Raw genomic sequence first — 15,404 nt, forward strand, 5'->3', positions numbered from 1 at the left:
GAGCAGTGGGGCCCTGGGCCTGGCCCACAGAACCATTTTTCCTTCCTAGGGCTCCAGGGCTGTCATGGGACGGGCTGCCCTGAAGATCTCTAAAATACCCTGGAGACATTTTTCCCCATTGTCTTGGTTATTAACATTCAGCTTCTCATTACTTATGCAAATTTCTGCAGCTGGCTTGAATTCTTCCGTGGAAAATGGGTTTTTCTTTTCTACTGCAATGGTTGGGCTGCAAATTTTCCAAATTTTTATGCTCTGCTTCCCTTTTAAATATAAGTTTTAATTTCAGACCATCTCTTCCTTCATGCATATGAGCATAGAATTTTAGAAACAGCCAAGTTACCTCTTGAATACTTTGCTGCTTAGAAACTTCTCTTGCCAGATACCCTAAATAATCTCTAGGGCACGGGCAAAATGCTGCCAGTCTCTTTGCTAAAGCATAGCAAGAGTGATCTTTACTCTGGTTCCCAGTAAGTACCTCATCTCCAGCTGAGAACACCTCAGCCTGGACTTCATTGTCCATATCACCATCACCATTTTATTCAAAAACCATTCAACAAGTCTCTAGGAAGTTCCAAACTTTCTCACATCTTCCTATCTTCTTCTGAGCCCTCCAAACTGTTCCAACTTCTGCTTGTTATTCAGTTCCAAAGTTGCTTCCTCATTTTCAGATATCTTTATAGCAGTGCCCCACTCTCCTGGTACCAATTTTCTATATTAGTCTGTTCTCACACTGCTATAAAGAACTACCTGAGACTGGGTAATTTATAAAGAAATGAGGCTTAATTGACTCACAGTTTGCAGGCTTACCAGGAAGCATGACTGGAAGGCCTGAGGAAACTTACAGTCATGGGGGAAGGTGAAAGGGAAGCAGGCACATCTTCACAATGACAGAGCAGGAGAGAGAGCGAGCAAAGGGGGAAGTGCCACACACTTCTAAACCATCACATCTTATGAGAACTCACTCACTATTATGAGAACAGCAAGGGGAAAATCCAACCCCATGATCCGTTTACCTCCCACCAGGCCCCTCCTCTAATTCAACATGAGATTTGGGTGGAGACACAAATCCAAACTATATCATGGTCTCTAATTCTATCACCTGCATATTTATGGGTCCAATTCTATTGGCTGATTTTTCCTTCCTGTTTCAGTCATATTTACCTATTTCTTCTCATGCTTGGTAATTTTTTAATTGAAAGCCAGACATTGTGAGTGCTGGATTTTTTTTTTCATTTAGATATTTTCAGACTTTTTCTGGAATGCAATTAAGATCCTTGGAATTGGTTTGATTCTTTCAAGGGTTGAATTGCGACGGCAAGTCCTGAACAGCGTTTAGACTAGGTCTGATTTGGACCACAGCTAAGGCATTTACTTTCTGAGGATACTACTCATTGCTGTGCATGTTAGGATGGTTTTCTATTCTCACTGGTGGGAATATGAACTATTCCTAGCCCTATGTGCATTCTGAGGATTGTGCTGCATACTTATTTTTACTGTTTCTTGCTAGGTATCAGTAGTTTCTTCACGTCCATGTGCAGTTTACTACTTAGTGAAAGACTCACAAAAGGCTCCTCTGAGGATCTTGAGAATTATTTCTTTCAGTGCCTCCCTTGTACTCTGCTGCACAGATTCTTGTCAATCTGTTTCTCCAAAGTCTGAACTCTGTCTCCCCAAGTTAGTAATACTCAGGGCTCTGTTTGGATATCCTATCCCTGTAGTGTGGCCTAGAAACTTTCTCTAGCGGGGATACTTATCAGGCTCACCTTGTTTATTTCTCTTCTCTCAGAGATCACTGTTCTGCGCTGCCTGTGTTCAGTGTTTGAAAACTCCAATTTTATATTTTATGTTTGGTTTTCTAGTTGTTTAATGTGGGAGGGTATGTCTATTTTGTTATTCTATTATGGTTAGTTGGCCAAAGAAACACTTAATACAGAAGTATTTGAAGGATACCCCATTTATGTGATGTGTAAAATCAACAAATACAATTTTAGGTTAAGACATTATATATGTGATCATATATATATATGATCATCAGTTTAAGGTCGCCAGTTTTCAACCTTAAAATTAGGAACACAGCAGTGGGAGAACATGATCAACTCATGGAACTGAAGGAGAGGAGATATTTAAGGAAGATTCCCTAAGGTGTGTATGCCTTTGGGGTGGAGTGAGGTGATGTGCTTCTCCTCCTTCTGCTGTTCTGTTGTATGCTTCTGTCTTGATGCAGAGGCAACAGCTTTTCTCCTTTTTCTGAGACATTAATGCCAAGCTATGGGAAGCAGGAGTTCTGATAGATGACACAGAGAAGGAGGGAATTCAGTATAAGAGCTTTAAACCTTCACAGACTTGGAGTGGAAAGGACTAGGAGGGCAGAGATTGTGACTCATTCTGGGAAATATGTCAAGAAACTTTTGTTACATTAATAAAAAAGGCTGAGTGGATTCTATCCTCCCTCTTTCCTTCCTTGTCTTCCCTTCTTGTCCCTCCTCTCTGCTAACTATGTGAGTTTGCCGTGTGTCTGGTACTGATCCAAGAAGTGAATATTGAATATTCTTTTTGGCAAGCAGAATGACCTCAGTAAAGTTTTCAATCTCACCATATCCAGGCTCCATGGATAAAAAGCAGTGATTGTACTACCGTGCAGCCTTCTCTCAAAGCTGTTAGTACCCTCTGCCTCATTCTTGGGTAAAGCCCTTTTGGCTTCCAGCAGTAGCCCTGAGAATCTGGCCTATTGTCCCCAGGTTGGAACAGCTTCTAAATCACTGGCCATCAGCTCTGTCCTACCTCAGCTGTTCTCCTGTGTGAGCTGTCTTCAGGTTAGATGAGACAGCTGTGGGGCTGCGTTTCTCCTACCTCTTCCTGCTTCTCCAACTGTATTGAGTTGAATAATGTCTCCCCAAATTCATGTCCACCTGGAACCTGTGAATGCAACCTTATTTGGAAATGGGATCTTTGCAGATGTAGTCAAATTAAGATGAAGTCATGCTGGATTAGGGTGAGTCCTAAATCCAATACGACTGGTATCTTTATAAGAAGAGGGAAATTTGGCCACAGAGACCCAGACACACAGGGGAGAAGGCTGTGTAAAGACAGAAGCAGAGACTGGAGTAATAAGTTTCCAAGTTGGCAACAACCAGAATCTAGGAGGAGGCAACAGCCTAAAGAGAGAGCACGGCTCTGCCAACTCCTTGATTTCCAATTTCTAGCCTCCAGAGCTGTGAGAAAGCAAATGTTTGTTGTTTTAAGCCACCAGTTTGTGGTACTTTGTACAGCCCATCCCAGGGAGGCCTTTGTCACTTCCCCTGTTCTCTTGACCCTACAGCAGGATCCTTTTCTGAGGAGTTAAACTGCTTAAGCTCAGGTATCCTTCATTTCACTAAAAACTGGGAAAGTTAATTAATTATTTGTACTGCTTTGCAAGGATAGTGCTTTGAAATCAAAGTGACAACTTGCTACCCTGATAATTTTTCTACCATCAGTACTATCAAATTTCTTTCCATTTAATAAAATATAAAATTACTTTAATCTCTTAATTCTCTTGAGTAATTTTCATAAAATAGCCAATGGTTCAAAAAGCAATAATTTATGAAAGGAATAAGATTGGGAGTAACTTTAAATCCAGAAATCAAGATGAAGAAGGCCAACATTTAGGTCATCTGTGTTTTTTTTTTTTTTTAAATTTTATCTACAGTATTGGAAAAGCAAAACTAAGCCTTTAAGAATAATTCAGTGAGCAAACAAACATAATATGGCAAAATGTCTCCAAACTTAAATTGGAAGCAGGAACAAAGAGAGAAAAAAAATAACTTTCGATAGCAGGCCCCCCATGTCCCCTCCGATCAGTTATAATATCCGTTGGCCATTCCCCTGGCACAAATAAGCAGGAGCATTCTCAGAGCCAAAACCAAATTGTTTAATAAAAAGTATGAGGGCACATATGAAGGTCTCACGTCTATGAACTGAAAATTGAGAACTCAAAATGGGCAAGTTGGAAAACCCGACAACAAACTATTATTAAAAAATGAAAGAGGGAAAAGAAAATGCTTAATAGTGAAACCTAACATTGTGGAGATAACTGTTAAAAGTAATTAATAAGGAAAACGGAACTAGTGTGTTTAAACTTACTTTTGATGCTTTGGCTCTAAGAAGGGGAAGAGACTTAGCATTATTTAAACTGTAATAATTCTTTAAAAACTTGCGTTTGATAAACAGGCTGTGGAAGAATATATAAACACATATGCATGTGTGCTTCTCCCCACATCAGGTCACCAAATTCCCACCTGTAACCTTTTCTAGCCTGACAAGTGGCTAATTTTTTCTGCCACTTATTCCTCGGGGCCTCTGTCCTTGCTGTGCTCTGACCTGCATTACAGGGATGGGGAAGCAGTGTTATACTACTCATAGGAAGTCAGGAAGGTGCTGGAGGTGAAAAGAAGGGGGACTTGGTAGGTTCGAGAGCTTCCAGGAAAAGGGAGTAGGAATATTGTAAGAAAACTAACTTCTTTTCTTCTAGGGTTTTTATGGTTTTAGGTCTAACGTTAAAGTCTTTAATCCACCTTGAATTGATTTTTGTGTAAGGTGTAAGGAAGAGATCCAGTTTCAGCTTTCTACATATGGCTAGCCAGTTTTCCCAGCACCGTTTATTAAATAGGGAATCCTTTCCCCATTGCTTGTTTTTCTCAGGTTTGTCAAAGATCAGATAGTTGTAGATATGCGGCATTATTTCTGAGGGCTCTGTTCTGTTCCATTGATCTATATCTCTGTTTTGGTACCAGTACCATGCTGTTTTGGTTACTGTAGCCTTGTAGTATAGTTTGAAGTCAGGTAGTGTGATGCCTCCAGCTTTGTTCTTTTGGCTTAGGATTGACTTGGCGATGCGGGCTCTTTTTTGGTTCCATATGAACTTTAAAGTAGTTTTTTCCAATTCTGTGAAGAAAGTCATTGGTAGCTTGATGGGGATGGTATTGAATCTGTAAATTACCTTGGGCAGTATGGCCATTTTCACGATATTGATTCTTCCTACCCATGAGCATGGAATGTTCTTCCATTTGTTTGTATCCTCTTTTATTTCCTTGAGCAGTGGTTTGTAGTTCTCCTTGAAGAGGTCCTTCACATCCCTTGTAAGTTGGATTCCTAGGTATTTTTACCATTCAGGACATAGGCATGGGCAAGGACTTCAGGTCTAAAACACCAAAAGCAATGGCAACAAAAGCCAAAATTGACAAATGGGATCTAATTCAACTAAAGAGCTTCTGCACAGCAAAAGAAACTACCATTAGAGTGAACAGGCAACCTACAAAATGGGAGAAAATTTTCACAACCTACTCATCTGACAGAGGGCTAATATCCAGAATCTACAATGGACTCAAACAAATTTACAAGAAAAAAACAAACAACCCCATCAAAAAGTGGGCGAAGGACATGAACAGACACTTCTCAGAAGAAGACATTTATGCAGCCAAAAGCACATGAAACAATGCTCACCATCACTGGCCATCAGAGAAATGCAAATCAAAACCACAGTGAGATACCATCTCACACCAGTTAGAATGGCAATCATTAAAAAGTCAGGAGACAACAGGTGCTGGAGAGGATGTGGAGAAATAGGAACACTTTTACACTGTTGGTGGGACTGTAAACTAGTTCAACCATTGTGGAAGTCAGTGTGGCGATTCCTCAGGGATCTAGAACTAGAAATACCATTTGACCCAGCCATCCCATTACTGGGTATATACCCAAAGGACTATAAATCATGCTGCTATAAAGACACATGCACACGTATGTTTCTTGCGGCATTATTCACAATAGCAAAGACTTGGAACCAACCCAAATGTCCAACAATGATAGACTGGATTAAGAAAATGTGGCACATATACACCATGGAATACTATGCAGCCATAAAAAATGATGAGTTCATGTCCTTTGTAGGGACGCGGATGAAATTGGAAATCATCATTCTCAGTAAACCATCGCAAGAACAAAAAACCAAACACTGCATATTCTCACTCATAGGTGGGAATTGAACAATGAGAACACATGGACACAGGAAGGGGAACATCACACTCTGGGGACTGTTGTGGGGGTGGGGGGAGGGGGGGAGGGAAAGCACTGGGAGATATACGTAATGCTAGATGACGAGTTAGTGGGTGCAGCGCACCAGCATGGCACATGTATGCATATGTAACCAACCTGCACATTGTGCACATGTACCCTAAAACTTAAAGTATAATAATAATAAATAAAAAAAAAAAGAAAACTAACTTCTTATACAAGTGAGCACAGTTGTGGCATTATTGAATGGCATTGAAAATTGAAAGCCCTAAGTGACATCAAAAAATGTTTACTTGAAAAACAGAGTGAAGGTATGGTGTAATTAGGTAGTAACCTAAGAAAGAAGTATTGGCCCCATTTTGGGTTAGTAACTAGAGAGTGAGTTCAAAAAGGTAAGAAAATAAAAACAAAAATTAGTTTAACACTTCATGGTTCTTAGAATCATATTTATCACAGAGTGAAAGGAAAGTTTTAATGAAGTTTTCTTACTCCTGATTTAGATCTCAGTCTCCCTAGTGAACTGTTACTTTTTCTTTCATGGATTGGGTTTTTATTTTATTTCTACAAGAAAAAATAACACATGATTTCATTTAAAAATGTTTAATAATACATAGAGATATAAAGTAAAGATGAAAATCTTTCCCTCCTTCTCCTCTGACCCAATTTTGTAATTTGTTTTCTATGCACATATAAATATATTTATACACATTTATATATGGGTTTATATAAATGGCATTGTTGTTCTATAACTTACTTTTCCACCTAACATATCAGTGACATCTTTCTTTGTAAGCATATACAGAATTACCTTATTATTTATAATAGCTATGTAGTATTCCATTGTATGGATGATTTTAATTTGCTTAATGGAACCCCTATTGATGATGAATAATCCCTTAGTTATTCTCATGGTTACCCCTGTAACTTTAAGTAATATATTTCTCCTTCCTGATTTCTCATCTTTGGACAATAACTATTGATTCCTGCTATAATAGATGAAGAATTTAGTTTATTACTTCTACCTCCCACATTCCTTCCTATTCTTCTTTCTGATTTTTGATTATATTATTATTTTTACATCATCAAGATTCATAATATTTAGATTCTATTCAGTAACTATAATTTAGTCCTCTGTGCTTTGTTTATAGGTTGATTCGAAATTTGAACCTAATAAAAGTATATAATGAGTCTGTTTAAATAAACAGATTCATTGCAGAAGTAAGTAGTATAATAGGGGGTATAATTCTCTGTACTATAATAGATGATATAATCCTTTGAAGGTGGTATAATCCTCTGTCACACTGCTGATTGATAGAGACTATTTCAAGTCAAAATCCTACAAATTCTTGGCTGGGTGTGGTGGCTTACACCTGTAATCCCAACACTTTGGGAAGTTGAGGCAGGAGGATTGTTTGAGGCCAGGAGTTTGAGACCAGCCTAGGCAACATAGCAAGACCCCATCTCTACCAAAAAAAAAAAAAAAAAAAAAAAAAAAAAATCAGCCAGATGTGGCAGTGTAGTCCTAGTTACTTAAGAGACTGAGGCAGGAGGATGGCCTGGGCCCAGGAATTAGAAGCTGCAATGAGCTGTGATCATGCCACTGCTCTCTAACCTGGGTGACAGAGTAAGACCCTATCTGTTAAAAAAACAATTCTACGAACTCTCTTTTAGTTTCATACCATGACCGCATTAAAAAAGCTCTTTTAAACTGTGCACGGGCAGAAAACCACCAATCAAGGATCAAGTGTCACAGTGTTTTTCTGTGGTTTAATTCCCAGCTAGAGAACAAATGTGTTCAGTAGGGATTCACAAATTAGGTCACAGAAATGAAAGCAATAATTGTGGATTATACCATGGAGATGGTGAATCGAGGGGGTGCTAGCCTCTATTGGGCTGAATGCATCCAGAAGGCTTAATTCTTTCCCAGAAGGACAGGCTCAGCTTCCTTAAGTGGAATTTAGTATCTGAGATGTAACTCCAGCCCTTTCCCCCAAGAAGTTCTGAGGTATGGGTGGACTATTTAATTAATGAGGTGTCATGTTTAATAAATCCCAAAATACTGCAGGACCAAGGGAAAATTAAAGACGTGCAAATTTCTTTATCAAAGATGAAATGTATTATCTCCTTATTTTCTTTCATTCTTGAGTTTTTGTCTAAATGAGCCAGAGGCTAGCAGTACTGATGAATCACTTTGACTAGAGCTGGTCACTCTTTATACAAAGTTACCTTTGTATATAACATAACCAGAGGCATCAGAGTTCACCCTGGCCAGGATCCTCTCATGCATCTGGAAGGTGTAACACTATGAGAAATTGAAGTCAGTGTTACTGGGATTGGGTGGATATTTGGGGTATGGGGAGGAGTCGTATTAACACATTCAGCATTGTGTTCTGGAGGATCTTCTACATCCATAACAGTTCCTTGCCTACATTACTTACCTTTAACTTTAAAAAATGGATGGATATTGGTTTAATGTCCGACCTACCTAGTATAAACTTTTCTACTTAGCAGTAGTTTCTAGTTTCTTCTTTTTACCCCAAGGTTAATCAGTTTTGAACAGCTACTGATAGTATTGGTTTGATCTTCTACAGCAGCAAAGAACAGTCACTTGAGATCTGTGGCCTAGGTTTGACCTATTCCTCAGGGCTCCACTGACCTTGAAGGCCTTGTTTGATCAGTGCTGGCATTGACCTAGAAACTTCAGTTGTCTTCCTCCTTTATGGACTTGTCAAGCCCTTCCTGCAGTTGATCATTCTGGGCAGTTAACTTGAGTTGAAGTCGTATATAAAATGCCTTATTCTGAAGTAGAGCTTAGACCCTTAGATAACCACCCATTTTCTTTTAGATGTGTCTAGAGAAGATCTTGTTAAACTCAGCAACAAAAGCCCTATAATTATTTTGTTAGCTGGATTCCAGCAGGCATAACATAGCTTGCTGGGTGGCATAGCCCTATGACAGCTTGTACTAAAACAGACCCAAACGTGTTCTATCAGGAAATCCTTAGATCTCCATCCAAAATGCAATCGGCACTACACTAGAAAACTTGCTTGTCTCTCTTGGATTCTATAAGACCTATAGGACATTTTCTCCTTAGAAGTTTAAGATTGGAATCTACTCTGGCAATGTGGTGGCCTGGAGGCATATGTGCAAAGGGCAATTAATTATTTGTTTAAAATGAAGTGCCATGTATTTATAGGCACAAAAGAGGTTTTACATTAAAAAGTTAAGTCTCCTTTCTAACCCTTCTACTTTCCTTACTCAAACCTTTAGAGGTTGCCAGTGATACCATGGTCTTGGGTATCTTTCCGGATATATTCAGTGTACACATAGCCTGTACAGTTACATTTAAACATATGGTAGCATGCATATATTCATACTGTTCTGCGCTTTAAAAAATAACTTAATGGTCAGCCTTGGTCATTACTCAATATTTACAGAACTCATTCATTATTTTTGTGGTTACATACTATCCCATTATTTGGACATAAAATAATTTATTTAGCCAATCTTCACTGATGGAAATTTAGGTTGTTTCCAACCTTATACTATTAAAATAATATGTTAATAATCATTTGTATGAATTTTATTTACTACATATGTGACTATATCCATAAGGTAAATTATTAGAAGTAACATTTCTGGATCCAAGGTGTGTGCATTTTAAATTTTGATAGTTTTTGCCAACCTGCTCTTCAGGGATCTTATGCTAATTTTAACTCCCCTGCCCCAGCAATGTATGAGAGTGCCTGCTTGTTTTATCCATGTCTTTGTCTATACATTCCCTTTCATACTTTTTGATCTTTGCCAATCTGATAGGTAAAAAATGTTATCACAGTTTTTAATTTGCATTTTTCTTATGGCTAACATTGAACATATTTTTATCTACATGTATTTCCTCTTTAGTAAACTATCTGTGTATCCTTTGCTCATTTTCTTATTGGGCTATTGGACCCCTTCCTGTTGATTTGGTGGAACTATTTATATTTTGAGGAAATTAAAGCTATTTTATATTGAAAAAATTAGTTCTTTTCTATGATATGAGCTACAAATGCTTTTTCACATTTTGATATGTCTTTTGACTTTATGGTGTTAAGAATTCGTTGCATGCCGTAGAATTTACCAGTCTTTTATGACTTCTGGGTTTTTATCATATTAAAAAATATGTGTTCTCCTATATTTTCATCTAGCATATTTGGGGTTTTTTTCTCATTTAAATATTTCTTATTTTGGTCTTAGGTGAAGGGCATTCTATTTAGATAACTGGAAGAGTTTTGGCTGTGAGGAAGTATTCTCTTTATAATGAAAGTTGTTTGGGTTATAACAGCTGGACATTTCTTATTAATTATTCTTCTACAGTGACAGAGTGAAGCATCATGCTTTGTGGTGAATGGACAGCAAGGAGACCTAATAGCTGAAGTGTAGTTGGACTTGGAGCAATTTTAAGTTACAAGACTACTGGCAGTTTCAGAGGGCCAGGTCAAGACTGGCCAAGTTGCCAGAAATTAGTTTTTCGGGCAGTAGTAAAGACCACTTCAAAGGCAGTCTCAGCATGGTCAAAGCTCCAAGAAGAGAGCATTAACAGAGGTGATTTTAGCATTTGGAGAACTCCAGATGAGCTATGGTGTTCATGAAGATCTTGAGTTGTTTGTGGACTTCTCTCCTGAGGTAGCTGCAGATTACCTGATTGACTCTGTTCATTGAGTTCAAAAGAGGGTCTCCAAGGAATTGAGTGCAGTGGTTCTCAACTCTGGCTGCTGTGCTGGAATCTGCTAGGTAGATTCTGACTTAATTGGTCTGAGGTGAGACACCAGCAACAGTTTGAAAACTCCACAGGTGGTTCTAATGTGCAGCTTGGATTGAGAACCATTGTTAATGTAGTCAGTTTGCTGTCTCTTTGAGTCAGGGATTGCAGTACATGCCTCAGTGCTTCCAAAATGTGCATACATATCACCTGGGGATTATGTTTTAAATGCAGAATCAGGAGGTCTGGGGTGAGGCTTGAGATTCTGCCTGTCTGTCTTAATGAGCTCGCAGCTTATGCTGTGGCTGGTCCCCAGACCACACTTGAGTGGCTTGAGTTTGTTACTTGAAGTGCAAAGCACTGGCCCACACCAGTCCACGAGAGTCAATAAGCCATGGTCCTGCTCTCTTGCAGAATTTGCTTAGTGTACTACAAAGAATACTCAGGTCAAGAGATCCGCTTTCCACTTCCTGCTCTGCCTCCAACTAATTAGTGTAAGACAAGTTTCTTAGAAGTGCTTTAGTCCTTCACCCTCTTATCTCTAAAATGAGAGGCTTGAATTGGATAAACTTGAAGGTTCCCTTTGTTTTTAAATCCTCTCATGCTTGTCCAGGATGTTTTCAGACTCTTTCTGGATCAGGTTGTTATGTGGGATGGAATCTGGATCCTGTAAAGACCTTGTCATCCCTTAGAGGATGGAGGCCTAGGCCCTGAGCTTATGATCTAGTGGGAGAAATAAAACTAACAAATGTTAAAAAATTAAAGAAGAGTTAAATGTTCAAGTGTAAGCTATGATAAGTACAAAAAGAATGCAGGGAAGCTAGAGAGGAGTGTTAATTGGAATGGTCAGGAAAACTTCATTGCCAAGGGGGAATTTGAGTTGACATCGTTTTTTCCTGGGCTGGGTGGACTGCAGGGCTGACAAGAGTGGTGGTTCTCCTGCTTTTGAGTTTGCTTGTCTCTAAAAAAGCATCCTTCAACAGTGAAGCACAAAACATATTTTTCTGCCTTAAATTAAAACAAAGTAGAAGAAACATCTAGTTCTGTGGAAGTCTTTAAAGGGAAATCAAAATCCAAAAAACTCTATATTTAATTTTTCAAGGCTAATCTTGACTGAGAAGATTGATACTGAAAAAAAATCACCACTACCAAATATAGAGCAAAAAACCCAGCGTACTTCCGTATCGATAATAAAAAAATGGTATTAGAAATTACCTAAAATGTAAGTAAATTCCTCAAATTATAAGTATTATTGAAAGTGACATATCTCTTTATCTTAACTAATTGGGAAAGAGACCAGATAATTTATTTAGATTTTATAACATAGGTGCACACGAATTTTTGACTCACCTCTTTTAATGTCAAAGGAGATGTATTTTGCATTGTTATTAGAATTTTACTAAATTTTATGTTCCCTTAAGAGGAGGTTATGTGACCAGGGCTCAGGTATTGAAAAATACAAAATAGAGCAGTTACCCTCATTTAATGAGCTATATTTAGTACACACAGTGCAGCTCCGTGTTCTCTGAATATCCTGAGAGTTTTGGTTTTTATCTCTATGGCTAGATCATTTTGAAATTGCAGACTTTGGGTAATTTTTCTCTCAAACACATGCTATTATAGTTTTACCGTATAGTCATGCTGCATAATGACATTTCGGTCAAGAACAGACCACATGTACAGTGTTCCCATGAGATTATAATACTGTATTTTTGCTGTACATTTTCTTTGTTTAGATATGCTTAGATACACAAATACTTACAAATTTTACACAAATTTTGTTACAATTGCCTGCAATTAATACAGTAACATGCTGTACAGGTTTGCAGCCTAGGAGCAAGCAACTATGTCTATAGCCTACGTATGTAGGAGGCCATACCATTTGGGTTTGTGTAAGCACAGTCTATGATGTTTGTACAATGACAGAATAGCCCAATGACGTGTTTCTCAGAAGGTATTCCTGCCGTTAAGTGATGCATGACTGTATATGGTAAATCTTTTATATAATCAACTATTGATTATCTATCTCAAGATTGACAATACAATAGAAATCTTCTATTTTTAAACTAATAAACACAAATTTATGTTACTTAATAGCAAAATTATTTTGGTTGCAAGTGACAGAAAACCCAACCCATTGGGTGAAGCAAAGAAGGGACTTTTTGGGGCCATGTAATTGAAAAATCTGAGATAGAACTAGTTTCAGATATGGTTGGTGTAAATAATGTAGTCAGAATGTGGTTTCTCTGTATCTCATGGTCTTGCTTTCCTCTGAGTTGCAGAGCCAACTTCGTTTAATTACATGATGGCTGCCAGGTTTTTTTTTTTTTTTTTTTTGTGGTCTGTCTGGCTCAAACCTAGTGGAGAAGAGAACAGCCACCTTTCCCAACCCCCCAAAACCAAATCCTGAATTTCATCCCATTGGCTGTGATGTAGATCATTTGTCCTCCAGAGTCTCTGGGGCCGGCAGTACTGATGGGCAGGATCAGAGATCTGTGTCTATCCCTGGAGCTGTAATCATTTGTCCTCCAGAGTCTCTGGGGCCGGCAGTACTGATGGGCAGGATCAGAGATCTGTGTCTATCCCTGGAGCTGTAATTAGTGTAACAGTAGCCAATGCTCCTCTAAGGAACCATTCCCTTCTCAATCAGGAGAATTGAGGAGCAATTGTTCCTTAGAGGAGCAATGACTACTGCTCCAAAAGAAGGAAGAATGGATGTTTGATGTGAAACAGTGGCAATGACAACAGTCATTACATATATCTTTCTCAGTTTAAGCCAATGTTAAATTTACATTTTTCTAAATACGAAGGTTTCAATGGTAGAAGACCATTACAGGATCTGCTTTGTGGTCAGATAGTGTAGAGCTGGAATTTAAAACAGTAATTCCATCTACAAAATGGATATCCTTAATGAAATAATTAAAAATGACAGTATTGGATATCTGATGGCCTACTTTCCAGGCAGGAATGATATTAAAAATATTTAGCAACCTGTGACAGAGGCATCAACCAATCAGAATGAGTTGGATCTAACCAATCAACAACTAACCAGTGCAGCCCCCTGAGTGAGAGCTGGCTGTTTGTCAGCACAACTTACTGGGAGGCATTCTTAAGGTGCTGTCAAGTGTCTTAAAAAATAGAGTTACTGTATTAGTTTCCTAGGAATGTTATAACAAGGAACCACAAACTGGGTGACTTAAAGTAACAGAAATTTATTCTCTCACAGTTCTGGAGGTTAGAAGTCTGAAATCAAGATGTTGGCAGGGTCCTGCTCCCACCAGAGGCTTTAGGGAAGGACCATTCCTTACTGCTTCTAGCTTCCAGTGGCTGATGGCAATCTTTAGCTCCTAGATGCACCGCTCCAGTCTTCATCTTCACATGGCTTTCTTCCCTGTTTGTGTCACTGCATCCAAATTTCCCTCTTCTTATAGGAAGATTAACCCCTTAGTCCTTATTATTTTAATTCTATTAAAATGTAAATGTTGGTATGACAATGTGGTGGGGAATTAATATTTATTGGCATGTATGTTTGTTCTTGGGGAGGTATTATATTCTTACACATGACTTTATTGAATTCAAAAAAGTGTTACCTTAAAAAAATGGAACTGGCCACAATTAGATGAACATCATTCATTAGTGTATTTAAGAGCAAGTACAAGAAACAGGAGACAAATACTGGTAAAGGGCTCAGAAACCATATTTTGTAAGGAGTATTTGCAAATGGTGGTCATTTCTTCAGCGCTTGGAAGAACAGCTGTGTGGAAAAGGGATTAGACTTCAGAGGGCAGAACTAAGTAAGTTAAAGGATGTGAAATACAGGACAAAACTTTCTTAATGTACAATGCACTAAAATGGAAATGACCGCTGTGTAAGGGAGTAACAAGGGCCAGTTCCTGGAGGTACTCAGGCAGTTGCTGAGATGCATAAGTACCTTTCTGGGACATTTTCATAGAGATCTTGCCTTGAGAAAGAAATTGAAATGGAAGCTTTCTTGCAGCTTCAAGATCTATTTCAAGTCCTAAAATTGTTCTCTATGTGTATGCCATGAAAATCAATATTAATTATGTGACAAGCTATTTCTATAAGCTTAAGTTTTGTTCTGTGATCTTGGTGCTATGGACTAGTCAGGAAAAAAGGGAAAGGTTTAATCTAGGAGGGTGGAAACATCATTAATAAATAAGAGAGGTAGGAGAATAAAACTTGCATTTATTGAGTACTTACTACGTACAGGGTGTTGGACTAGTCTCTTTATCCATATAGTCTCATTTAGTACATTTAGTTTTTCACTGATCAGTTTGGAACTTATGGGAAGTGGTTCTTAAAATGATGAATTCTTAAAATAATTGGCATTTTCTTATATATTTTTTGGTGATGAAACACAGGACTGTTCTGATGGCTACATGTGCAAAATACACTTTCAAATTAAGAATGGGTCTGTGATGTCACATCTAGGAGCATCTACCCATGGACAGACATGTCTTCCCATGGAGGTGAGTAGTTTAATGCATCATGTTCTTTTCAGTCTCCGTAAAGTATACATTTAAAAATGTATACTTTAATGACTCCATCGCATTCCATCCTATGGAAGCACCACAATTATATGGCACTCATATTG

At 38.3% G+C, this 15,404-nt stretch overlaps 1 protein-coding gene across 13 annotated transcripts in view; it reads left to right on the forward strand.

Moving 5' to 3' along the window:
- Window positions 1-15,404, forward strand: part of ATG10 (autophagy related 10) — a 284,111-nt gene that overhangs the window by 71,301 nt on the left and 197,406 nt on the right. For 7 of the 13 annotated variants that reach the window (XM_047417800.1, NM_001131028.2, NM_031482.5 and 4 more), the window contains one exon: window positions 15,172-15,279. The exons of 5 other annotated variants lie outside the window; for them this stretch is intronic. In XM_047417800.1, coding sequence (XP_047273756.1) covers window positions 15,172-15,279 — 108 coding nt within the window. Of the gene's footprint in view, window positions 1-11,908; window positions 12,012-15,171; window positions 15,280-15,404 lie in introns of those variants that run through there. One more of the 13 variants, XM_011543660.3, reaches the window with a different exon arrangement.

This window comes from Homo sapiens, chromosome 5, assembly GCF_000001405.40.
Source record: "Homo sapiens chromosome 5, GRCh38.p14 Primary Assembly".
In the NCBI taxonomy this organism is placed as follows: Eukaryota; Metazoa; Chordata; class Mammalia; order Primates; family Hominidae; genus Homo; species Homo sapiens.